Source organism: Homo sapiens, chromosome 21 (assembly GCF_000001405.40).
Source record: "Homo sapiens chromosome 21, GRCh38.p14 Primary Assembly".
In the NCBI taxonomy this organism is placed as follows: domain Eukaryota; kingdom Metazoa; phylum Chordata; class Mammalia; order Primates; family Hominidae; genus Homo; species Homo sapiens.
In genome coordinates, this window is record NC_000021.9 from 29115426 (window position 1) to 29139443 (window position 24018).

Here is a 24018-nt window from a genome sequence, read left to right on the forward strand (position 1 = left end):
GAGGGCCTTAGTTGGAATTGCAGAAATATCAGGGAACTTAGCTATAAAGGCCTCCAGAGTTATCCCTGAGTGCAGGGGGCCAGAGTGGTCACAGTCATGGCCTGGATGTGAAACTTGACTTCAAAAATGACTAGCTTTTTGACCGTAGGCAGGTTATTTGACCTCCCTTTACCTCCATTTCCCCATCTGTAAAACTGGGGTGATAATAGTTCTTGCCTCATAGGTAGGACTGGTTCCATAGCTTCCAGACTCTTGTTCAAATCTCAATGAAATGAAAATGCTGGGCCCCTTGTTCACCTTTCAAGACGGCAGCAGCATAGCATCAAACCAAGTGTGGGACCCCTCTGAGCATGGGCCCTGTGACACTTGCCAGGAAGCTGGCCCTGCTCGCAGGATCACTGTGAGAACTAAATTAATTATTCTATTTAAAGCCCTTAATGTACTACCTGACACATATGCAGTCTATGTAAACATTAATTGAATCTAAAAAATGACAGAGGAGTAATCTGGGAACCAGAGAAATTGTTACTAGCTCAGAGTAACGCAGTGAATTGGTGGTAAAGCGAGCCTTGGATTCGATCTGTTCCGTGGCTTTCTGCATAGTTTACTTATGTATACTCTAGTGGTTTCTTCCGTGAAGCTCTTTCATTGAATCAGCATTTTTGAATGCTTTTCTATATCCCATGTGCAACAGTAAACAGTGGCGACGGGTAGTTCATGAGTTTTGTTTTTATTCGTTATTTCTATTTCCAGTGCTATAGCAGGCTACAATAAATCTTCAGCTATACTAACTCTGTCACTGAACAAGCCATGAGATTCTTACCTTGTTAAGTCACATGAATTTAGAAGAGTCAAGTAAATGACATCTGGGATCTTGGTAGCAACACGTGAAGAAAACTTATAAGTACAAATATTTAAAAAATATAAATGTAAATATAAATGATGGATGAGTTTTCTCGAGTAAAATCAGAGGATGATTTAGATGATCTGAAAGAAGCCTTCTAGCTCTAACATTAGTAACAGAATCACATGGGCCTCAATTCTTTCCTACTGCCCATGTAGCCACAAATGGAAAGATCTCGTTGAAATGACTATTTTTTTTGTTCCTAATGTGTCCTTAAAGAAAATTATTAAAAATATCTCAGGTCAATGACAGATAAAATTTTCCTAAAGTCTTCCTTTAAGAAACCCAAAGAGAGTACAAACTTCTGTCTGTATTCTGATTCATCTTCATTTAGTTTTTCTTGATAAACAGGGAATGTCATTCTTGTTCATTCTGAATTTCAGAATCTAAATTTGGAAAAAGAATACTAAAAGCATGCTAATTAGGCTCTTCAAAGAGTTCTTTAAAAATTTGAATATATAAATAATTTTATCATTCAGGGTGTGAATCAGCTATAGTTAGTCCAAAAAGCTTTTTAAAGCAATATACTTTTTCATGTTCAGGAATGATTTCCTGATATATAAATAACTTCCATTGCCATGGTACTTAGGCCATAAAGGGCCCTGCAGAACACACTTGTCTAATTTGAATTGTTTAGATTAATTTGGCAACTGGTGAAATATCACTTTGATTCTAATTATTGTCATGCTCACCTTGAGTAAGGCTTTTTGTGGTTTAATAATGCATACTCTTATTTCAAACACAAAAGCATCTGTGAAATCTGTCTTAACTATCAATATATTTCTTCTATTTGACATAATTTAATTTAATTTAATATAATTAATATACATTATAAGATCCTTAAATCTCAAAAGAAGATAATCTCCTGTCCTTCACTAGAATTTTTCTGTTCCAGGAAAATGTCATTTTCTATTTGTGGACTCTTCTAGGAAATCTTCATTCCCATTTAGCTGGAGCGGTGATGGAAAGCTATTCCTTCTCTGATGGACTTAACAATGCTATTTCTGTATCTCATTTGTGAGGCTGGGCAGCCATTCATTTGTGGTTAATACTGTAATTCTTAAAATGTATTTTTAAGAAGTGGATAGAAATATCTGATGCTCCATTTTAGTTTGAATGCTATCACTGCTGAAGCACACACAAAACTGTCAGCAAAATGCTGTTTGTATTGGACAACTCCTGTGAATTGAAAGTAGCTAAGCTAAAAAAAGGAAAATTGACAGGTGCCTTATTAGGCCCCAGTGATTAGTCATTTTTGTGTCTGCACAAGTAATTGACACTCACTTCTAAACAAGGATTGTGCATTTGCATGCTTTCAGGAAGAAGTCCTGCTGGGTGATTCTAATCTACTATTTTAGGATGTGATGGCTTAATTTGAAAAATGTTTTTATGAACAAAACATGATCTCTTTCTTGTCACTTTTTTGAATGTCCTCAGGTTTCACAGTGTGATCAGGGACTGAATGGATTTTATTCGGGTACCAAATATCCGATGACTAAATGGGTTTGGCAGTAAAATTGAGGGTTGTGTTGGTAACTACCTTCCACAGGAAGAAGAGATTATCTTTATTCTGTTCTTTTCTTGACGACTGCTGTAAAATGTATTTTTGGTTTGTTACAAACCAGTTGAATCTTTACAGAATTAAAACCAGAGAAGAAATTCTGTGGATAATTATTTTTTTATTCAGGGACTGGCTCCACCTACTACAATTTAGAATTGTAAGAAACTTTAGAGAGTATTAATTTAATTTTTTTAAATTAAAAAAATTTTTTTTGAGACGGACTCTTGCACTGTTGCCCAGGCTGGAGTACAGTGGCATGATCTCAGATCACTGCAACCTCCACCTCCTGGTTCAAGTGATTCTCCTGCCTCAGCCTCCTGAGTAGCTGGGATTACAGGTGCGTGCAACCACACCTGGCTAATTTTTGTATTTTCAGTAGAGACAGCGTTTCACCATGTGGAGCAGGCTGGTCTTGAACTCCTGACCTCAGGTGATTTGCCTGCCTCGGCCTCCCAAAGTGTCTTAACTTTTCTCCATGTGTGTCCCTGACTTTTATGGGTACCTTCCCTATTAGGCACTTGCATCCCAGGTTCAATTTAGTTCCAGAAATATTTACTGAGGCCCTGCTAAGGGCAAGGCACTGATCATGTGTCTTTGGTTGAATTGGGGGTGACAGTGGGATGGTAAATGGAAGCAGCACAATGTGGTACTCAGTGCATTAGCAGGAGAATGAACAAAGGGTTTTGGGAGGACAGGGGTTGAAATGACTACACAGACAAGGTGACAGGAGTGAGGGCCTTGATCTGTGAAGGCACAAAGTTGGCAATGAGGCCATAGTATCTGAAAACACTGAGAGAAGTTCGGTGTGACCCCACTGTAGGGAAGGTGGGAGCATGAGATGAGTATGGAGGAAAGGAGGACAAATTATGAAGGGCTTTGGATGCCAAACTAAAGACGTGATTCTTTAGGCAAGAGTGAGCCAACAAATGGATCTTTAAACATTTTAATTTTTCTTTAAGTTGTGCATGCGCATATGTTAAGGAGTCAAATAGTTCTGCAAGATTTATTACAAAAATCCCAAGAGGGCTCAGCCCTCCTACTTCCCATATTCCCCATTCCAGAGGTAAACACTGTCTAGATGATGGTGCTGGTCTTTACTTCCCACTTTTATGAGATGTGTTTGCATGACTATTTCTTGCTTTTACCAGTCTCGGCCATTATCTATTGGCTTCTCCCCATGGAGGATGAGGATTTGGCTCTCTCCCTGCATCCCCACACCATCCCACACACAAATACCCTTTCTCTGCCACCTCCTTTCCACAGTGTAATTTTTGTTAGATCAACATTCAGTACTGACAATATTAGGCTCGTGTAAATGTATTCACAGCTGAGGCAAATAGTCAACGATGGTTATTTTTACTTTACAGTAGAGTTTCAGCCCTGTCCCTGGAGGGCAGGCTAAATTTTTGTTTGTTTGTTTGCTTGCCTTTTTATTCCATGTACTCATCACTAATTCAACCCTAAAGGTCTTTGCCCTTCTGCCAATTGCCTAAATGTCTTTTCAATATGGCATCAATCAAGCAGTCTAACCATTTCCTATTCCTAATGGAGCCATTCTTGTGGCTTTCAGACCTGCTTCTGTGAGGTCTGGCACACAGGGTCACTCTGTGATTCCCTTTTATTGTCGTCCTGAAGGGCCATTTTACCCTGTGTGCTGTTGCGCCTTTGTGTTTCCTGTGTTCCAGGCTTTCTCTTTCCTGGTTTACACCAGCAGCTTTTTGAAAAACGTGCATGGGATATAAGAATTTTGTTGAAGACCTTAATCCTAAAACTTTTTTTTTTTTTTTTTGAGATGGAGTTTCACTCTTGTTGCCCAGGCTGGAGTACAGTGACATGATCTCGGCTCACTGCAACCTCCACCTCCCGGGTTCAAGGGATTCTCCTGCCTCAGCCTTTTAAGTAGCTGGGATCACAGGCACCTGCCACCATCCCTGGCTAATTTGTTTGTATTTTTAATAGAGATGGGGTTTCACCATGTTGGCCAGGCTGGTCTTGAACTTCTGACCTTAGGTAATCCATCCACCTCGGCCTCCCAGAGTGCTGGGATTACAGGCATGAGCCACCATGCCTGGCCTTTAATCTTAAAACTTGATTGATAGTTTGGTCAGATATGGAACTTTAGGTTGGAAATAATTTTTCCTTTAGAATATTGAACATTAGTTCCATTTCCTACTGGTTTCCAGCATTGTTACGGAGAAATATGAAAACAGTTCTGGTTATTGATTGTTTTTATGAGATCTTATTTTTTTCCTCCTTGGAAGCTTGATCTTTTGTTTCCAGTTTGGGGAATTTTCTTTTTTTTTTTGAGACAGAGTCCTGCAATCTATTGGTATCTTTGTGTCTTTGTATATTTGTGTATTTGTATCTTTGTATATTTGTATCTTTGGCACCAATGAAAAGGTATCTCCTACAAAGGCAATTTGAGCCATATACCATAAACAGGATTTTGGTGTGTCAATGAAGAGATTTAATTTTGGCAAACAAATTAGCTCTTACACTTTATGAGCTCTGGAACTTTGGGCAAATCATTGAAACTTTGTAAGTCTCAGTTAGTTCCTCTATAAAGCAGGAATTTACAGTAGCTGTCTTAAAGGGGCGTTTTGTGCATTAAATTACATCATGGGTATGAAAAGGGCCTAGCTGAGTGTCTGGGACATAGTATTTGCCCCACATAATTCATTTCTCATCACCTTAAAACCAGAATATTTCATGGGATTTCGACATATTCTACTCATGAAGGTATTAACATAGAATGTTTGAGTCTCTTTTCTTTCTTTCTTTTTCTTTCTTTCTTTCTTTCTGTTTCTTTCTTTCCTTTCTCTCCTTCTCTCTTTCTTTTCCTTCCTTCCTTCCTTCTTCCTTCCTTCCTTTTCTTTCATCAATTTGAGGAATAGGCTGGGCATGGTGGCTCATGCCTATAATCCCAGCACTTTGGGAGGCCAAGGTGGGTGGATTGCTTTAGCCCAGGAGTTCGAGACCAGCCTGGGCAACATGGTGAAACCCCACTTCTACAAAAAATACAAAAATTAGCTAGGCATGGTGACATATACCTGTAGTTCCGGCTACTTGGGAGTCTGAGGTGGGAGCATCACTTGAGCCTCGGAGGTTGAGGCATCAGTGAGCTATGATTGTGCCACTGTACTTCAGCCTGGGCAACAGAGTCAGATATATATATATAGTGTATATATGAGAAATAATGCCTTTCTTACCCAACTTCATTCATGAAACCGTATTGCAGGCTTCATCTGTTCAAGTACTCTACCCATTATCTACAGTGAAGGAAATGGCACTCAAGTTTGGGCAATGACTGTCTTACCTGGGAATTCTGAGGGAAAAGGTCTTCCCTTCATGGGTTTGTAAAGCTGGTAGGACATAAATGTAGGCAGCTGGTGGCCAACTCATGGGAAAACTCCATCTGAAAATGAAGCTAAAATAAAGAAAGCTGACCATGAAGTGGAGTAAGTTAGTTCCCTAACGGTATCAGTTGTGCCTTTGGTAAATCAATGTCTAAACAAAAAGGTCCCTGGATTTCCTACTTTTGTGAACCAATAATTACCTGTTGGTATTCAAGCTAATGTTAAGTTAGTTCTTGACTCCTGCAACTGAAAGAATATAGGCTCATTCAGAGCTAAACTTCTTTTTTCTTTTTTCTCATTCACATGGGAGGTTTGGTTGGCATTTGGTCCTTTCTTGCAGTAGGAGGATGTCCAAGTAAAGACATAAACCAGAAAGGTAGTGAGCCAGATCTTTAATGAGCCAAGCAGTTCAGTGTTTGGGATTTTTAGAAATACTTCAATGAGTTTCCTTTATAATTTCAGTAAAGATATGACCTTAACATTGAAGCTTATTTGAGAAATGTCTGAAGGGTACTTAGGCTACATCTCGTAGGCCTTCTGATTTTAAGAGGCTTGTATTCATGGATAAATGTAGCTGTGGTTGGGGAAAAAAGAGAGAGACCAACATTTATGAACACCAGGCACTCAGCACTTTCCTCACAATGTGTTCTTGCTGCATGAAGACCAAGGATGTCACAGGCACTAGTCAAATTTGAGTTGCAAAGCAGGCCACAGAGGGAAAGTCCTGCAAGTACTCAGTCATCAGCATGGGGAGGAGGAACTCAAACCAAGTGTACACTACAGAATGTGTCCCATGTTCATGTTTGTGCACCTGTTTGGTTTCTGGAAAGTGCTCCCTCATGTTAAATTTATGTAGTTAAGTTGTAAAACAGGAAATCTTCCTTGACCCTTTGCAGGATTTGTGAAAGGGGTGGCTTGTTTACTGAGCCCGCAGCACTCAATCCCTTACGGGATGGGGAACATGCAGGTAAGTGGGTGCGGGGGCCAGGATGAGTGCTTCTGGGTGTCAGCGGGAGCAGAACTTTGTGCGGCCCTGTGACAGCATCTGGGGGGGTACCCGTGACCCCTGGAGCCCTGAGGGCATGTATTACACTGCAGTTTTTTAGCTTTGCTGTTCACGGATGGCTTAAGTGTTTAACAGCTCAATGTGACAGCCCTCTGTATCCTGAGCTCTCATTCAGTGTCCAGGAAGAATCAGGTTGCACGAACGAATTGAAGATGGTAAATTGTGGGCGATTTTATTGCCAATGAAACTGGCTTTTAGTGGAATGGAGAGCTGGAAAGGGGATGGAGCGGGAACGTGGTCTTCCCCTGGAGTTTGGCCATCCACTGCCAAACTCTTCTTCGAGGCCCTGCCGTCAAGCCGTCCCTCTTAAGTTAAGCTGCTTCTCACCAACGTCTAGCTGCTGCTGCTTTTCTCTACTTCTCTGCCGCTCTGCTGCCAGTGGCGGCTGGGGTTTTTCTGGGTACAGGATGGGGGTCAGGGCAGGCCAGGGTGATTTTGGAAAAGGCAACATTCGGGTGGGAAATGAGGAATGCATGTTCTTACTTTGGGCCATGGGTCCAGGTTTGAGGGTGGGGTCCTCACTGGGGACTGCCCTCTTCTACCCAGTATTTTCCTGCCTCCTGTCTGTATCAATTGTATTTTAAATTTGTTACTTTATTTGAATTTAAATTATAAAATTGGTTGATAAGAACTTTGTACATTTGATTTTGTAAGAGTTTTATAAAAAGATTATATATAGTTTTATGCTTATACTTAAGTAATGCTATTTTCAAAATGAAGTCAATACTGGAGAAGAAATGATCTTTTTTTTTTTTTTTTTTTTTTTTGAAATGGAGTTTTGCTCTTGTTGCCCAGGCTGAAGTGCAATGGCGTGATCTTGGCTCACTGCAACCTCTGCCTCCTGGGTACAAGTGATTCCCCTGCCTCAGCCTCTGAAGCAGCTGGGATTACAGGTGCCCACCACCAGGCCTGGCTAATTTTGTATATTTTTAATAGACATGAGGTTTCACCATGTTGGTCAGGCTGATCTCAAATTCCTGACCTCAGGTGATCCACCTGCCTTGGCCTCCCAAAGTCCTGGGATTACAGGCATGAGCCACTGTACCCGGCTGATCTTTTAAATAAATGTTATTCGCTGTCTATGAAGTAGTCCTGCAAAAAAAGAAAGTCACATCTGAATCTGACCGAGTTTCTAGATCCAATGGCTAATTTACAGTGGACAGAGAGAACAGAGAAGCATATTAAAAAACATTATGGAGGTGTAACTTTGGGAACTCTATAGTTTCTTTAACAAATAAATTTGCAAAAAAAGAGGGAGGAAGAGTAATTGTAGATTTATAAATATAAAAACTTAGCAGTCCATCATGTGTCCGGACTTTGGATCTTGATTAAAAATTTAAAAATTAATGGAGAAAACAATTGAAAATGTTTGTGATAAAATTGGAGGTTTGAATGCTGTCTGATGATGGGTAATGTTGGGGAATTACTGTGGTGGTGGTTGTTGGTGTGATGGTGCTATTTGGTTCTGTTAATGAAGAGAGTGCTCTTCCTTTTTGGGGTACACACTGGGATATTAACAGATGATGAGAAATTTATGTTTTCCTTAGGATAACATTAAGAAGGTAAAGTAAATCTATCTATACTATAATAACAAGCTTTAAAATTTGGTGCTGTTAGTCCTTCTAGGTTATATTCTTGGGAAAGATATAAATACTAAAATATAAGATAAACATTATTTTCTCATACAGTCAAAAATATTAAAGGAAATTTATTCTTTCTCCAAGAGTCTGCTGTCTAGGTGTTTATAGAAAAGGAACACAGGCCAAGGGTGGTGGCTCATGCCTGTAATCCCAGCACTTTGGGAGGCTGAGGCTGGTGGATCATGAGGTCAGGAGTTCAAGACCAGCCTGGCGAAGGTGGTGAAACCCCATCTCTACTAAAAAATACAAAAATTAGCTGGGCGTGGTGGCAGGCACCTGTAATCCCAGCTACTCAGGAGGCTGAGGCAGGAGAATCGTTTGAACCTGGGAGGCGGAGGTTGAGGTGAGCCGATATCGCGCCACTGTGCTCTAGCCCGGGCAACAGAGTGAGACTCCGTCTCAAAAAAAAAAAAAAAAAAAAAAAAGAACACATGTGTCACATTTAATTAACTTTAAATGGTAAACTCAAATTGTATAAAACCATTTAAGTTTTCATAAATAAAATATTTAGATAAAAGATTAATCCATTTAGATAAATAGATAGCTAAATCAAGTTAAAAAGGCAAAACAGTGGCTACACACACATCACGTTATTCCCATCTGGGGAAACCCTGAGTTAGTCCATGCTTGCTTGTTGGCTATACAAATCAAGGGTCCAAAAACTCTGAGGATCAGGTAAAGTCTGTCCCACAGCCTGTTTTGGTATGACCCAGGAGCTAAGAATGGTTTTAATATTTTAAAATATTTGACAAATATCAAAAGGAGAATAATCTTTGGTGACATTTGGAAATTATATGAAATTCTAATATCAGTGTCTGTACTTTTACTGGAATACAGCTATACACATTTACTTACTGTTTTTGTAAATAAAGTTTTACTGGAGTCATCCATCCATTTGCATATTGTCTATGACTACTTTCAACTTAGAACAGCAGAGATGAGTAATTGTAACAGAAAGTGTATGGCCTGAAAAACCTAAAATATTTATCTCCTGGCCCTCTACAAAAAAAGTTTGTCAACCTAGATGAAAAAACTGAGTCCTGGAGGTATGAAGTCTCTGGTCTAAACTTCCACAGCTTTTGAATGCAGCATCACAATGCAAACCCAGGTCTTCTGAATCTAGGTACCCTTTGGATGTGGTTTTTTCCTATGTTTTTGCCCCCTTGAAAAAATGATTTCTATTTACATAGTGCCTGTTTTATTTCTGGCATTGTTGCACGTACTTGTATTGCTCTTTTAATTGTCATAACAACCTGTAGGACAGGTACTATGATTATCCCCCATTTTATACTTGGGGAATTTGTGGCATATAATTTATTAAGTAATTTAACCAAAGTCCTACATGAGTAAGAGACAGAGCTGGGTTGGAGACCCAGGTGGCCTGACTTAAATGTTGCACATTGCTCTGTCTCCTTCATTAAGGGAACCACAAAGCTAGTGAAAGAGAAACCATTGAGTGGTTCAGTGGTTCTAACCCCTGTCATTCCTCTCTTGAGCTTTGGGGGCACGAATGATATAGGGTTGATCATTCTGCTATCTTAAGCCTGAAGTGAACTTTGATTAGGAAAAGTGGCTCCCAGTTACCCTTAAAATCAAAGGCTGTGACAGTATGTGATCAGAAATCCTTACTCTAGAAACATACAATTTTTCTTTGTCAATTAAAATAAAAAGAAGTTCCTGGGGGAGGTGGTGTCTTGTTTTTGTCGTTGAGCCTTGATCCTTGCTTTGTGGTTTTTCATTGCATTGCCCTACGAGAAGGTTTGAGAAGGAGTAACAACATTACTGCAAGTTAGCACTGCAAGAAGGCTTCCTGGGAAACCTGGGAAACCTTACCTGACATTTCACTGGGGTCAGGAGCGGAGGAAGAGGCTCCTCCAAAGAGCAATGGCACAAGACCAGCTCACAGTATGGAACAGGTCCCGTGGCACTTTCTTACCATGGCCTGCACATGCAGTCTCATGAACCAATTGGAAGAGGTGTTTATTCACTGGTGTTTTCTTCAAACAGATGTATCAGTGCTTCATAGAAAAGCAGGGTTAATACATAACTTTGGGACTTTTGCTTTACTAACTGAGAAATCTGACAAAATTTTTTTATGGGGATGGAGTTGGGAAGAATGAATTGAAGAAAGTGGCAGCAAAAGAAGAGTTACTTCTCCCAGAGGACTCTGCATGTGCCATACGGCACTGTGGGGGGAGCTGTGCCTTGGCTGTCCACTGGATGTTCAGTCAGGATAAGGCCGTCCACTGGATGTTCGATCTGGAGAGGCTGGCAAATTATAGTCTGCAGGCCAAATCCAGGCTGCTCTCTCTTTGTAAATAAAGTGTTTTTGGAACACAGCCATGTGCATTTGTTTCCTGTTTTTGTCAATAAAGTCAGAGCCCATCCATTCCTATACATGTTGTCTATGGCTGCCTTTATGCTACAGAGGCAGAGATGAGTAGTTGTGACAGAGATCCTTAAGAGCTCATAAGTGTAAAATATTTCTTTCTTTCTGTTTTTTTGTTTGTTTGTTTGTTTTTTGAGATGAAGTTTTGCTCTTGTTGCCCAGGCTGGAGTACAATGGTGTGGTCTTGGCTCACTGCAACCTTCACCTCCCGAGTTCAAGTGATTCTCCTGCCTCAGCCTCCTGAGTAGCTGGGATTACAGGCACTCGCCACCACGCCTGGCTAATTTTTGTATTTTTAGTAGAGACGGGGTCTTACCATGTTGGCCAGGCTGGTCTCAAATTCCTGACCTTAGGTGATCCGCCTGCCTCGGCCTCCCAAAATGCTGGAATTACAGATGTGAGCCACCGTGCCTGGCTCACAAGTGTAAAATATTTCTAATATGGCCCTTTAGAGAAAAATTGTGCTGACCTCTGGATATAATGGAAGAGTGATTATTTTGCCGTCATGGAATATTTCTTTGTTGGAGACTACCGGCCGTATATGTCACATAGCAATACAGAGCTGACTTTAAAATGTTGGGGAAAATGTCTTCTCAACTATTCTCTAAATGCTATGAATAGCCATTAAAATTTCTTTTTTAAAATTTCCAGAATGAGGGTCTACCCAGACTACTGAGTCACTATGGCAAAGCCTGGGAATGGGTATTTTTTAAAGGCACCTAGTAATCAGGTACTTTTGAGAAACACTAGCCTGGAACATACCAAGCTACATACGTATTGAGTTGTACTGAGAAATTGATATTGCATAATTGTGACAATAGTCTATGGTAGGAGTGTATTATTGATCATAATTCAGAAGCAAGTCTAGAGCTCAGTATGTGAAAAGCTCCTTGAATATTATTGAAAATAACTTTCCAAATAACTGTAAAAACACATTTGTTGCTGAAAATAATAAAATAAAAATTATACATTATTGCCACCATCAAGAAACATACTGTTAATCTGTTTATATATTGATGCAGAAACACATCCTTTCTGGATTGAATTTATATAATTCTATTAAATTCTTAAAATACCATGTAGTTATTTTGGGTTTCAGTTATGGGAAGGGATTTCACTTGGATTTCAGATTTGTTACTCTCTTGAAAGTGTTTGGATAAAGAGCCAAGAAATACATCATTGCTCATATGGGAACAGAAAAGCTGGTAAATGTTAATTGTGACTGAAAACCTTGAATTTATGTTATCAGATTCAGAAAGAGAACATTTAGACAATTTAGATGTATTTTTTTTTGTTCCTTTCTCATTGTTGTCAAATTATCTTTTAATGAAATCTTTTTCTTTGTAGCCCTTTACCAACTGGGCATCTACCACACCTCTCTTGATGTCATTTTTGATGTCATGAGGACGTAGCTGTCAGTGTTGCAGCTCACACAGTGGGCAATCCCCAGGCTCACTTTAATGATTCCAGAGAGTTCTGTGGATAAAGATCTATGCTGTGTTGGTGAGGAGCTGTTGACAGTATCATAGAAGGCAATATTTCCGTTGTGTTTAATATGTAACTGTCTCTTTCTATCTCTGTATGGTTCTTTGAGAGCCTGATGGTCAGTGCAGAAAAGGAAGGTGCTACTTCATCCTAGGTCTGTCCATTCTGAACTGTCAGTTTCACTAGAATTCAGCCACTTCCAGTCACTGACTGCCTTGGCAATGTCAGTGTCACCACCAGCTTTTCTGAAGGCAGACCCAGGGGGCCAATTTGAGAGACAGCACAGATGTGGTATCTGCTTTCCCATTGGCACACATAAGATGCAAAACTTTGATTTTCTTGGGGTGGAACTTGGGTGTCATGATAAAGATGGCTAGTGTCAGATGAACCTGGATACTGGACCACTGAAGAAAGTGATACTTTTGTCTCCTCCAAACAAAAGCTGAGAGTCAGACTTATTCTAAAAAATTTCAATTAAATTTTTTTTTTTTTTTGAGATGGAGTCTCACTCTGTCGCCCAGGCTGGAGTGCAGTGGCACGATTTAGGCTCACTGCAAGCTCCGCCTCCTGGGTTCACACCATTCTCCTGCCTCAGCCTCCCGAGTAGCTGGGGCTACAGGCGCCCACCACCACGCCCGGCTAATTTTTTGTATTTTTAGTACAGACGGGGTTTCACCATGTTAGCCAGGATGGTCTCGATCTCCTGACCTCATGATCTGCCTGCCTCAGCCTCCCAAATTGCTGGGATTACAGGCGTGAGCCACCGCGCCCGGCCAATTAAATCTTTGATACGGAGTGCATCCTGGTGTAGTGGAAGTAGCTTGAACTAATAATTAGAAAACCTGGATCCTATCTGGGTTCTTAATTCTATTATGGTCATTCATCCTCAAGCCTGTTATTTGAATTGTCTGCGTCTCAATTTGCTCATCTGTCAAATCGGGATGGCAATACTGACAAAGACTATTGTATAGGATCTTCTGGAAGATTAAAATGAGGTCGTGAATAAGAAATTCACTTCGATAAATTATAATGCATTAGTAAGTTTTATTATAACCATAAAATAATATTAAAACAGTAATATTAATTCCTGAAAAGAATAAGCTTATATGTGAATGTTTTAATTGTCTGAGTCTGTACAGCTTTATTGTTGTATATATCATAACAAATTAGCCTTCCATTCATTAGATTAAGAAAGCCTGCTGAGTCCTTTTACTTGTATATTTAATACCTTTTGAACAGTTGTCAATTTACAGAAAAAAACGGAGTAAAATGTATGGAATTCCCATATATTTCCTCATCCCTCTAACCCCTAATTAACATCTTTGCTTCAATTAATGAACCAATATTGATACATTATTATTCATTATTAGTCCATAGTTTACATTAGGGTTCACTCTGTGTTGTACATTCTATGGGTTTGGACAATTGTGTAATGATGTGTATCTACCATTACAGTCTCATATAGAATAGTTTCACTGCCCTAAAAATCCCTCATGCACCACCTATTCATCCTTCCTTTTTCTCTTCCTGAATCCCTGGCAACCACTGATCTTTTTACAGTATCCACAGTTTTACCTTTTCTAGAATGTCATGTTGTTGGAATTATACAGCATGTAGCCTTTCAAGATTTAGCTTCTTTCATTTAGTAATATGCACTTAAGATACTTCCATATCTTTTTGTGGCTTGATAGTTTTTCTTTTTATCCCTGAATGATATTCCATTGTCAGGATATACCAGGATTTATTTACCTATTGAAGAACTTGGTTGCTTCCAAATTTTGGCAATTATGCATAAACCTGCTATAAACATCTGTATGCAGGCTTTTGGGGAAATAACAAGAAGTGTGATTTCTGGGTCATGTGGTAAAAGTATGTTTGCTTTTGTAAGAAACTGCCCAACTGTTTACTAAAGTGGGATATACTATTATGTTTTCATTCCCACCAGCACGGAATGAAAGTTCCTGTTGCTCCACAGCCTCACCAACATTTGATGTTGTCAGTATTTTGAATTTGGGTTATTCCAATAGGTGTATAGTGGTATTTCATTGTTGTCTTAGTTTGCAATTCCCTAATGACATATGATGTTGATCATCTTTTCATATGCTTACTTGCCATCTGTATATTTTCTGTAGTGAGATATCTTTCAGATCTTTTGCCTATTTTTTGATTGGGTTGTTTGTTTTTCTGTTGTTGAATTTTAAGAGTTCATTGTATATTTTGGATGCCAGTCCATCATCTGATATGTATTTTGCATATTTTCTTTCAGTCTGTGGCTTGTGTTTGCCTTCTCCTAATATTTATTTTGCTTATTTAACCTCAAAAATCACAATCCAATTATTTTTTAAGTACCAATGACATCCAGGTTTACAGTTTTTAAAAAGGTTGACAAATCCTAATGCTGTATTCTTATTTACCATTGACTCCTTTTGTGGTTGGTTGCATTTGAAGAATGAATCGAGTCATCAAGCCCAACATGGGCTCAACCTCAAACCTCACATTCTTAACCAGGATCCTCGCTGCTATCATCTGAGAGTCAGCCTGTGGCCTGTCCAAGTTGGCTGGGTCTGGCTGAGCTGATTGGAGCGGCCGACATTTTTGCTGACTGGAGTCATGCTATCTTTGCCAGTTTGCTGGAATAGACACAGACACCGATTGGGTCACGCTGAAGACATTCCTGTCTTGTGAAGCAAGTCTGTTTGTATTTTAAGTTTGCCAGGACTAATGAATTAAAACATTTGGACTCCCCACAACTTGCTGTTTATCAATGCCTCTGACAGGAGGAGGGTTTTCTTTTGCTCTTGCTTTTTCTAGAAAGATGACAACATCCTGGCTGTTAGAGAGGCAAGGAAAGGAGAGAGGGGTTGTGAAGGGAAGCGGAAGGGAAGGGAAGGGAGGTCCCGTGGGACGCTGGGGTCTGGGGCAGAGCAGGTAGCAGCGTGCTGCCCTGACAGCTGTCTCCGCTCCTCAGATTGTCAGTGGCTGCTATGCAGCAGGTGCAGCCTGGTCTCTCACTGAGTCTCTACTCCACAAAGGCAACGACTGGCCAAGGCAGTGGCTGGCTCTGGGTTACACAAGTGCAGACACTCAACTAAGTGAGGTAAGCCAACAGGTGTGAAAACTGAACTAAATGCTCAGATCAGCAGCAACTTAACCAAAGCTCTGTTACAGCCTGTAGCCAAGAGAAGGAACCTGTGGTTCGTTTCCCCAGACGGTGTGATGAAAAGGCAAGTTGGTGTAGGGGCATTTGTGGTCAACATGGTGTGGAACTCAAAGTCCACTCAGTCTTGCCACCATCCTTTCATAGGCAGACAGATGTTCTCCATTGAGCGGAGGGGAGGGACTCTAATTAGCTGTGTTTATTAATTCCATTTCCTGTAGCTGGAAACCATACCAGAGGACTATTTACAAAATCCTTGAGGCAAATTTCTACCTCTTGTACTTGATTTCTTGGTGCGGGAAAGTGTTGGGGGATTTAGCCAAAAGAGGAGTGCAACTTTCCATCCTTAGATGTTATGCTAAAGTGATTCGGTGATTGTACAATGCATAACAGTAAAACTTTTCTTTTTAGCTAAAATGTTAAGGGAATTTTAATGGTTTCTTCTGTTGAATTTGAGACAATCCATGCCATTCCCTAGGTGGCTAACAAAATGCTTGATTCTGAGCAGGTAAGACTGGACAGAAGGGTGGCAGAGTTAAGATAAAACAAATCCTGAATCAAATAACAGATATTTTATATTACTCTTTTTTAAAATTAAATGTTTCATGTCACTATTTCTTTCTAACTTAGAATTACATGATATGGACAGTGGAGAGCTTTTTGGTGCATTGCTACTTGTAGTGCTAAATAAATGGGCCAAATTATGATTCTAACTGGATAATAAACAGTTGCTGGTTTTTCTCCAAAGCTATACTAGGGTTTTAATATAAGCCTGATCTTTTTTCATATGCTGGGTAAGATGATTCCATATGTATGTATGTCTAAATATACATGTATATATATATGCATTGGCTTTGGCTCTATAAATACTTTTAAAAACAAAATTCAGTGTTCTGGACACTATTTTTAGATAGATAGAGGAAAGTTATGGGAAAAAGTCAGAAACCGTGCTGTGAGAAAATGTCCTGCTAAAGCATTTCCCAGAATCTCTTTAAGGATGGCTAAAGAGATTATTTATACTTTGCCATTTTTAGAGCTATTTCCCTTAAAATATCATTCAGGTTTTTTGGTTTACTGTCTACATGAGAAGGAAAGTAGAGGGTTTAGGGGAGGTGGGACTAAAAATAGAAAAGTTAAATATATGTTTTTAAATAAGAAAGATATCATGTATTTATAACTATCTTTTCCTAGTCCCCTATAGACATCAAATTATCAAATATCTTGGTTAAAATATATTTGGGCTAAGTTCTCTGATTATAACCAGAAATATTCATGTGTTTTTGCCCATTCCATTTTATCTGCAGGATGTTTTTTTTCCATTCATTCTACCTTAATTAATTAAATGATGATTTGATAGCTGGAGTAGAATATCTATAGGATGTTTTTGAGTCTTGTCTTTGCTTTTATAGAGTGTTAAGATGTGCATCCTTAGAAATGTTTGGTAGACTTACAGGTAGTTAATCAGATATTTAAAGCATATGATATTCATCATATAACAGATATTTTAAAGTGGTTTTTGGTATTCTTTATTTATTTATTTATTTTAGACAGAGTCTCACTCTGTCGCCCAGGCTGGAGTGCAGTGGTACGATCTCGGTTGACTGCAACCTCTGCCTCCCGGGTTCAAGCGATTTTCTTGCCTCAGCTTCCCAAGTAGCTGGGATTACAGGTGCCTGCTAGCATGCCCCACTAATTTTTGAATTTTTGATAGAGATGGGGTTTTCTCATGTTGGTCAAGCTGGTCTCGAACTTCTGACCTCAGGGGATCTGCCTGCCTCGGCCTCCCAAAGTGTTGGGGTTACAGGCATGAGCCACCACACCCAGCGACTTTTGGTATTCTTTAAATGATTCCATGAAACCCATTCTTTGCCACTCTCAGATTAATAATTCAGATTTAATTTAGGCTTTTGAACATGAAAAGCAAGTCTAATCTGAAGCCATCTGATACCTTATTAAGACTATATCTCTTTTTATCCTCCTCAGTTGAAAGTAAAATACTTTATATGACCTTAAAGAGGCAGGATTGAACTGGTCCGTGTAAAAAGATATTGAGCAAGTAAGGCAGGTAGAGATATTTCCCATATTTCATTCATTCTAGATGTATATTGCAAAAGCAATTTTTTCTTGAGCCAAGAAAAAAAGATTTAAATGGGGCGGATGAATACTTTTGACATAGAAAAAGCTCAAAACTAGGAGTATCTTTAGAATAAGCAGGTAATGCTTACTAACCTTAATAACTTCACCTGTAATTTCCAAGGGCCTCTGAGTATTTAGGGGGATGATGCTGGATAAAGTGACAATGGCTCTCTCTTGCTGTCACAGCTGGAAGACCCAGGAGAAGGCGGAGGCTCAGGTGCCCACATGATCAGCACAGCCAGGGTACCTGCTGACAAGCCTGTACGCATCGCCTTTAGCCTCAATGACGCCTCAGGTATACTCTGCTCTGGAAGAAGGATTGTTTCCTTCATACCCCACCTTTCTAGCATCTTTTCTAATGCCACGCCTCTGTGGAAAATTTAAAGTTGCATGCTTGCATGACCTGATGATGGGGAATGTGATATTTCATCATGCATTGTTAGATGGCGGCTTCCAGAAATGCCTCTAGTGATGCTTTCCTCCACCTTGAGTTTTCGGGTCATTTAAACTCATTTTTTTTCTCCTCCCTCCCCATTCTAGCTTTCTTTTAGAATAAAATTCACTGAGCTACAACAATTTCTAACAATAGCAAAGTGTGTTATTGTTAAAACTGCATGAGGAAACTTTTATTAGGAGCTGGCAGTTGGTTAGGTAATATGAAAATATCACTGTTCCGTTTACAGCAACATTTGCTGAAGCGTAAGTTAGAAATGCTGGTTTCTCACTGGTGCTCCCACACTTCTGGCTAAATCAACAGACTTCAGCAGGAATGATAAATGGGACAGGTGAGGAGGAGCCTCTCTAAATAGTAAGGTCTGAGGTGAAACTGCCATACTTAGAGCCCTTCGTCATGGCTCCCCTCAGTGACCTCTTAACACACATTGAATTGCACCACTTTTGAACAAAAGACCTCATGTGGCGGGAGGTCACGGTGCTGAGGAAAGGAAGGCTTGGCTCTCTTCCACTGGCATCCGCCATTGCTCTTAGTTTAATGTCATCTGTTAAAATCACATGCTTAAACAACATTACCATTTAAACCTTGGGTCTTTTGAGGACTCTCTCTCTCTCTCTTGCTATAATGCCCATGTAGGGATGATGCTTTAAAAAGTAATGATTGGCCGAGCATGGTGGCTCACGACTGTAATCCCAGTACTTTGGGAGGCCAAGGCAGGAGGATCCCTTGAGCCCAGGAGTTTTGAGACCACCCTGGGCAACACAGGCAGACCTCATCTCTATTTTAAAAAAAGTAGTAATTGAAAAGGGACAGAATCATTCCAAAATAATGCAAAGTAAGGAGCTCTGTGAAATCTGATGTCACACAACCATTGCAGGCTTGGGGTTACTATGCCAGGTGACACATTTAACCTGGAGTTTCCTAGACTGTTAGCCTCCAGTGGAGGATGTATTCCGTAGCAGGAAGAGGTGAAGGCTTGACTCTTCATAATCAGTTTTTCCAAACCTCTTCTCATGATCTGCCGTTGTACTGTGTCCTCACTCAGGGTCACCCTGAAAGACAGTGGTGAGAAGAAATCCTCCCAACAGGCAAATCAATCCACCCCAACATAGAAATGACAACTGCCATTAACTATACTTCTCTGTCATAATAAGCATTTGCCTGTATTATCTCTGATCCTTAAGACAACCATGCAGCCGGGCACGGTGGCTCACGCCTGTAATCCCAGCACTTTGGGAGGCCAAGGCAGGTGGATCACGAGGTCAGGAGATTGAGACCATTCTGGCTAATACGGTGAAACCCTGTCTCTACTAAAAATACAAAAAAAATTAGCTGGGCCTGGTGGCGGGCGCCTGTAGTCCCAGCTACTCGGGAGGCTGAGGCAGGAGAATGGTGTGAACCTGGGAGGTGGAGCTTGCAGTGAGCCGAGATCGTGCCACTGCACTCCAGCCTGGGCAACAGAGCAGGACTCCATCTCAAAAAAAAAACAAAAAAAACAAAAAACAAACCATGCAACATAAGCATTAGTATTCCTTATGTACAGACACAGAGATTGCCACCCAGAGACCACACTGTTTGTAGGTAATGGAGTTATGTTCTGAACTCAGGGCCCTAGGCTTGAAGTCTGAACTTTCTCTATTTTCGATGCTGCTTCTCTAAAAGGAAAAATGAAAGCCCTTTCTGTTTTTATACATTTCATAAATGCAAGATTTCAAGGAATAGTCAGTGCTTTTCATGGCATCTTGAGTGGCTAGCTCTCAAGACACACGCGTGCAAACCCAAAATCCAGAGGGAAGGAAAATGTATAATTTCCTTTCTTTTTTACTCATGCTGCATGTGAGCAGAACAAGTCCTGTTACAATCAACAGCCTCACAAAGAAAATTTCAGTATATAAAGCTTATTTATCTCAGGCAGTATTAATTTTGGACCAAATAAATGTACTGTTCCCCTGTCAACATTTTAACAGGAACTTAATTTATGTACAGAAAAGAGCCATGGAGAGGTGAATCTCCATCTTTGGTTTGCCTGAATAACCTCTTTCTTGAAATACAGGATGTACAACTTGCAATTAATTTGTCACCATTCTTTGAACTCTCTTGGCCCTTGACTAGGAGCTCACAGATGTTTTTCATCCATCAGTTTAGACTGGTTTGTTCCAGTGTCTTTCTCTTCTCTTTCAAATGACTCCAGAATGCCCACTTTCAAAATCCATGGTTTTTAATAGGTAGCCTCAAAAAAGGATTATAATTTATTTTAAATTATTCCTACCCTCTAGCCCCACCAAAAGATGCTTATGAAAAAACTCCCCAAATTAAGTATTTTAATCTTATGGTCAGTGTGTCCTCATATCTCTAGAAAGGGCACCTACCTGGAGAACCTAGGGCAGGAGCTGAGGTTCAGTGTTTCTCAACCTTGCCTGATTAAAATCATCACCTGAGAACACTCATTGAAAACACGTGTTCTAAGGCCCCACTCCTATATATTCTGATTCAGGAGACCCATTATTGTTGTAAGAAGAAAAAGAAAACCTCCTCCTATGTTTTATGCATATCACAAATGCAAGATTTCAAAGAATAGTCAGGGCCCAGGACTCTCTATTTTTGCATATACATGAGGCTGAGTGCACAAAAAGATGCTTTGCAGATATTTGGGACACTCCCTTTAAATTCTTGAATAAGGAACATGTGGAGTGTCACACAGGAAAACACTTGCCATCAAGCGAGCTGTGCATGCCTTTTGAATTCCAGTGCATGTGGCCTGCAGACCACACATTTAGGGGGAAACAAAGGAAAACCCCCTAGACTTTCATAGTAAATGAGGGCACTAATGTGGACTTTTTGGGAGTAATTCTACATTGTTGGATTTATTGTTGATGAATAAGCAGAGTCCATGAGAAAAGGAAACATCTTTGCTTGTGAATGTTGACATGTTCATTTTTTTCTTTTCTTTTTTATTTTATTTTTTTTTTGAGACAGAGTCTCTCTCTGTCACCCAGGCTGGCGTGCAGTGGTGCAATATTGGCTCACCGCGACCTCCGCCTCCCTGAGGTGATTCTTCTGCCTGAGCCTCCTGAGTAGCTGGGACTGCAGGCACCCGCCACCAGGCCTGGCTAATTTTTGTATTTTTAGTAGAGACGGGGTTTCACCTTGTTGGCCAGGCTGGTCTCGAACTCCTGACCTCAAGCAATCGGCCCGCCTCAGCCTCCCAAAGTGCTGGGATTACAGGCGTGAGCCACCACACCTGGCCCGACATGTTCATTTCTGATAAGCCTAGCCTAGTGCTCATTTCATCCAGTCATTTCAGGACTATATATTCCTGAGATGATTTAGTGTAGAGGTTAAGGATATGGCTTTACAGCCAGAGAGGCATGATTTCTAGACCTACCTCCAACACTATTTGTATGATCATTCCACCTTGCTGAAATTCAGTTTCCTGTAAGATGCGTATAGTAGTAATTCACAGGGTTGTAATAAGAAGCCAATGACATCTTATAGGTAAAGTATTTAGCAGAGTGCTTGATACAAATTAAGCATTCAACTTACCCCTGAAATTATGATAATTGATTGTGGAGTATAAGGGAAATGTAAACCACTAAGCAGTTGTGTCTCACCTACATCTCACCTTGATGTCAAGGTAGATTTTATAGCATTACTGACCTGCAGTTATTTAGGGACTAGTTATGCAGTTAATAGATTGTTCATATCCTATTTTACCTCTGGGCAATTAGCTGAATTTATTTGGTTTCGGTGTTTCCAGCAGTCTGCCAAAGGTGGGTGGGATGTGCAAAAGAGAACAGCATGACCTCCTATGGGCTTTGTAAGGCAAGATGTTTGGAGAAAAGTCTGTGTCACCCAGAGCAGTTAGTAATTGCTTCTTGGAAGAGGTGATAGTCAAACTGGGCTTGAGGGCAGGTAGAGTATAGAGGAGCAGTACAGGACAGATGCCATTCCTGGGTACTAGATACAAAAAAGGGGCTACATATCTTGTAACCAGTTTTCTTTCTTTTCCCTCTAAACAGAAAGCAGGAGCAAAACTTAAGAGTCAGGAAGAACATGGTGTGTTCAGAAAAGACTAAAACTAGTCATTTGGAGCAAGACTAAGACTAGTCCACTGAGCTGTGGAAGAGTAACGTGTTGTCTACCGAGCCCTGCTTGAGTCAGCCATTGTTTTGGATACTTACATAGGGTACTGTTTAGATAGCAATAGACTAGGGTTACCAAGTCAATCTTCAAAGTTCAGCAAGGGGTCTGGACTTGATCAAAAGCGATGAAGTGTCAAAAGTCCTTAGAAAAGGGAATAATATGATGAAAGTGGTAAAAATTTGGCGGAATAGTCTGGAATGTGGAGAGATGAGAGAATGGAAGAGGCATTTTATAATGGTACAAAGTGATGAGAGCCTGCATTAGATAATGTAATGGGATGACTTAATTCAGGGTCCATTTTGAAAGAAGGGTTGAAAGGACTTGGTGACAGACTGGCCCTGGTAGATGAGGAGTTGGTCATTTTTCAGTGATAGCAGAATGAGCTGTAAGACTTTGAATAGAACATGGACCTCCAGAGGTCCTTAAATAAAGGAAACAAGGTTTTGGAGAACACAAATATATATATATTCCTTGACAATGCAATCTCCATTTTCAGCCTATCATCAGAGTGCTTTTTAAAGTAAACTTAGCTAATGGTAATTCCCAGAGGCAGTGATGCCTGTCTTTAATGAGCTAATGATATTAATGATAATCAGTATTATTTCTAAACTGGAAATTTCAAAGAGTCGAAACTTCCTAAACTGGAAACTTCATGGAGTTAATTTTCTTAATAGAAAAAGTGCAGAAGAAAAATATGAATCCCACCTCTTGGGTTATTCAAGAATCACTGGCCCTTCTCCAGCTAGAGGGAATTTAGAGTTGGACAGACATTAGGATTTCATGTCAATTATATGAGACTTTTCTTCATCTTCAGCTAAGCTAAAAACTGGCATGCTCCTTGTAAATTTAGACCTTGGCTTTGGAATTCTTTCTGTCTTTTGCATTTTTTAGAATAGTTTTTTGTTTCGCTTAGAAAGAGTCAAGAATACTAGTATCAGCTCAAGCTGGTAGCTTTTAATATTTTGTTTTTAAAAATTCTTTCTGGCCAGGCACGGTGGCTCATACCTATAATCCCAGCACTCTGGGAAGCTGAGCCAGGAGGATCACTTGAGGCCAGGCAAGACCAGCCTGGGCAACATAATGAGACCTATCTCTATAAAAAAAATCAAAAAATAAGCCAGGTGTGGTGGTGCATGTCTGCAGTCCCAATTCCTGGGGCACTTGCTTGAGTCCAGAGGATCAAGGCTGCAGTGAGCCATGATTACACCACTGCACTCCAGCCTGGGTGACAGAGCAAAACCCTATCTCAAAAAAGAAATTCTTTCAAGCTGTTAGAAATTTTTTATATCTGGATATGAATTAATCGTATGACACTTAGTTTTTGTGTTTTTTTTGGTACTCCGGAACCCATACCATTGGTGTCACTTTTAAATAATACAGTTTTCTCCTCAAATATCAGGATGTTTTGTGTGGTAGGGAGAATTACATGGAGTAGTTGCAATAGCTACCTTTGAATCCAATGCAACAAGTTGGGTGTTATGTGAGATCTTTTTGTGTGTACTTCTAAAACTGGCTCTCAGCAAAATTGTGGTGCAGGTGAAGTGTCTTCTTATTTATCATTATTTTTTAAGGCTAGTCAAGTGAAGCACTGGGAGAAGAGAAGGAACAAAGAAATCTGTAGCTGGTTGTGATTAAGTAGTTGTAAACACCATTGTACTCGGACCAGCCACAAAGTGTCTTTTGTCACTGTCCTCTTCCTTCAACCTTTTCTACCTTCAGTATTATTC

The 24018-nt window shown here is 40.1% G+C and overlaps 1 protein-coding gene and 1 pseudogene across 15 annotated transcripts in view, besides 5 other annotated features; one reads left to right on the plus strand and one right to left on the minus strand.

Moving 5' to 3' along the window:
* The window catches only part of MAP3K7CL (MAP3K7 C-terminal like), a 98774-nt gene that overhangs the window by 38312 nt on the left and 36444 nt on the right, over window positions 1-24018 (plus strand). For 3 of the 15 annotated variants that reach the window (NM_001371374.1, NM_001286617.2, NM_001286619.2), the window contains 2 exons: window positions 15370-15498; window positions 17881-17989. The exons of 5 other annotated variants lie outside the window; for them this stretch is intronic. In NM_001371374.1, coding sequence (NP_001358303.1) covers window positions 17920-17989 — 70 coding nt within the window. In that variant the 5' untranslated portion in view covers window positions 15370-15498; window positions 17881-17919. Of the gene's footprint in view, window positions 1-6564; window positions 6789-15218; window positions 15499-15553; window positions 15626-15788; window positions 16067-17880; window positions 17990-24018 lie in introns of those variants that run through there. 7 more of the 15 variants (NM_001371370.1, NM_001371373.1, NM_001286620.2 and 4 more) reach the window with 7 other exon arrangements.
* Window positions 6410-6459: an enhancer, noted in NCBI's record as "active region_18337". NCBI's record gives its function as "activates an Ori minimal core promoter by ATAC-STARR-seq in GM12878 lymphoblastoid cells {active_cell/tissue: GM12878}" and the evidence as "EXISTENCE:reporter gene assay evidence [ECO:0000049][PMID:35858748]".
* Window positions 6610-6789: an enhancer, noted in NCBI's record as "active region_18338". NCBI's record gives its function as "activates an Ori minimal core promoter by ATAC-STARR-seq in GM12878 lymphoblastoid cells {active_cell/tissue: GM12878}" and the evidence as "EXISTENCE:reporter gene assay evidence [ECO:0000049][PMID:35858748]".
* Window positions 7200-7269: an enhancer, noted in NCBI's record as "active region_18339". NCBI's record gives its function as "activates an Ori minimal core promoter by ATAC-STARR-seq in GM12878 lymphoblastoid cells {active_cell/tissue: GM12878}" and the evidence as "EXISTENCE:reporter gene assay evidence [ECO:0000049][PMID:35858748]".
* Window positions 9957-10006: a silencer, noted in NCBI's record as "silent region_13237". NCBI's record gives its function as "represses an Ori minimal core promoter by ATAC-STARR-seq in GM12878 lymphoblastoid cells {active_cell/tissue: GM12878}" and the evidence as "EXISTENCE:reporter gene assay evidence [ECO:0000049][PMID:35858748]".
* Window positions 12224-12850, minus strand: RPL12P9 (ribosomal protein L12 pseudogene 9; annotated as a pseudogene).
* Window positions 18316-18862: an enhancer, noted in NCBI's record as "NANOG hESC enhancer chr21:30506062-30506608 (GRCh37/hg19 assembly coordinates)". NCBI's record gives its function as "activates a minimal SCP1, AML or CMV promoter by ChIP-STARR-seq in primed H9 embryonic stem cells {active_cell/tissue: H9 hESC(primed)}" and the evidence as "EXISTENCE:reporter gene assay evidence [ECO:0000049][PMID:30033119]".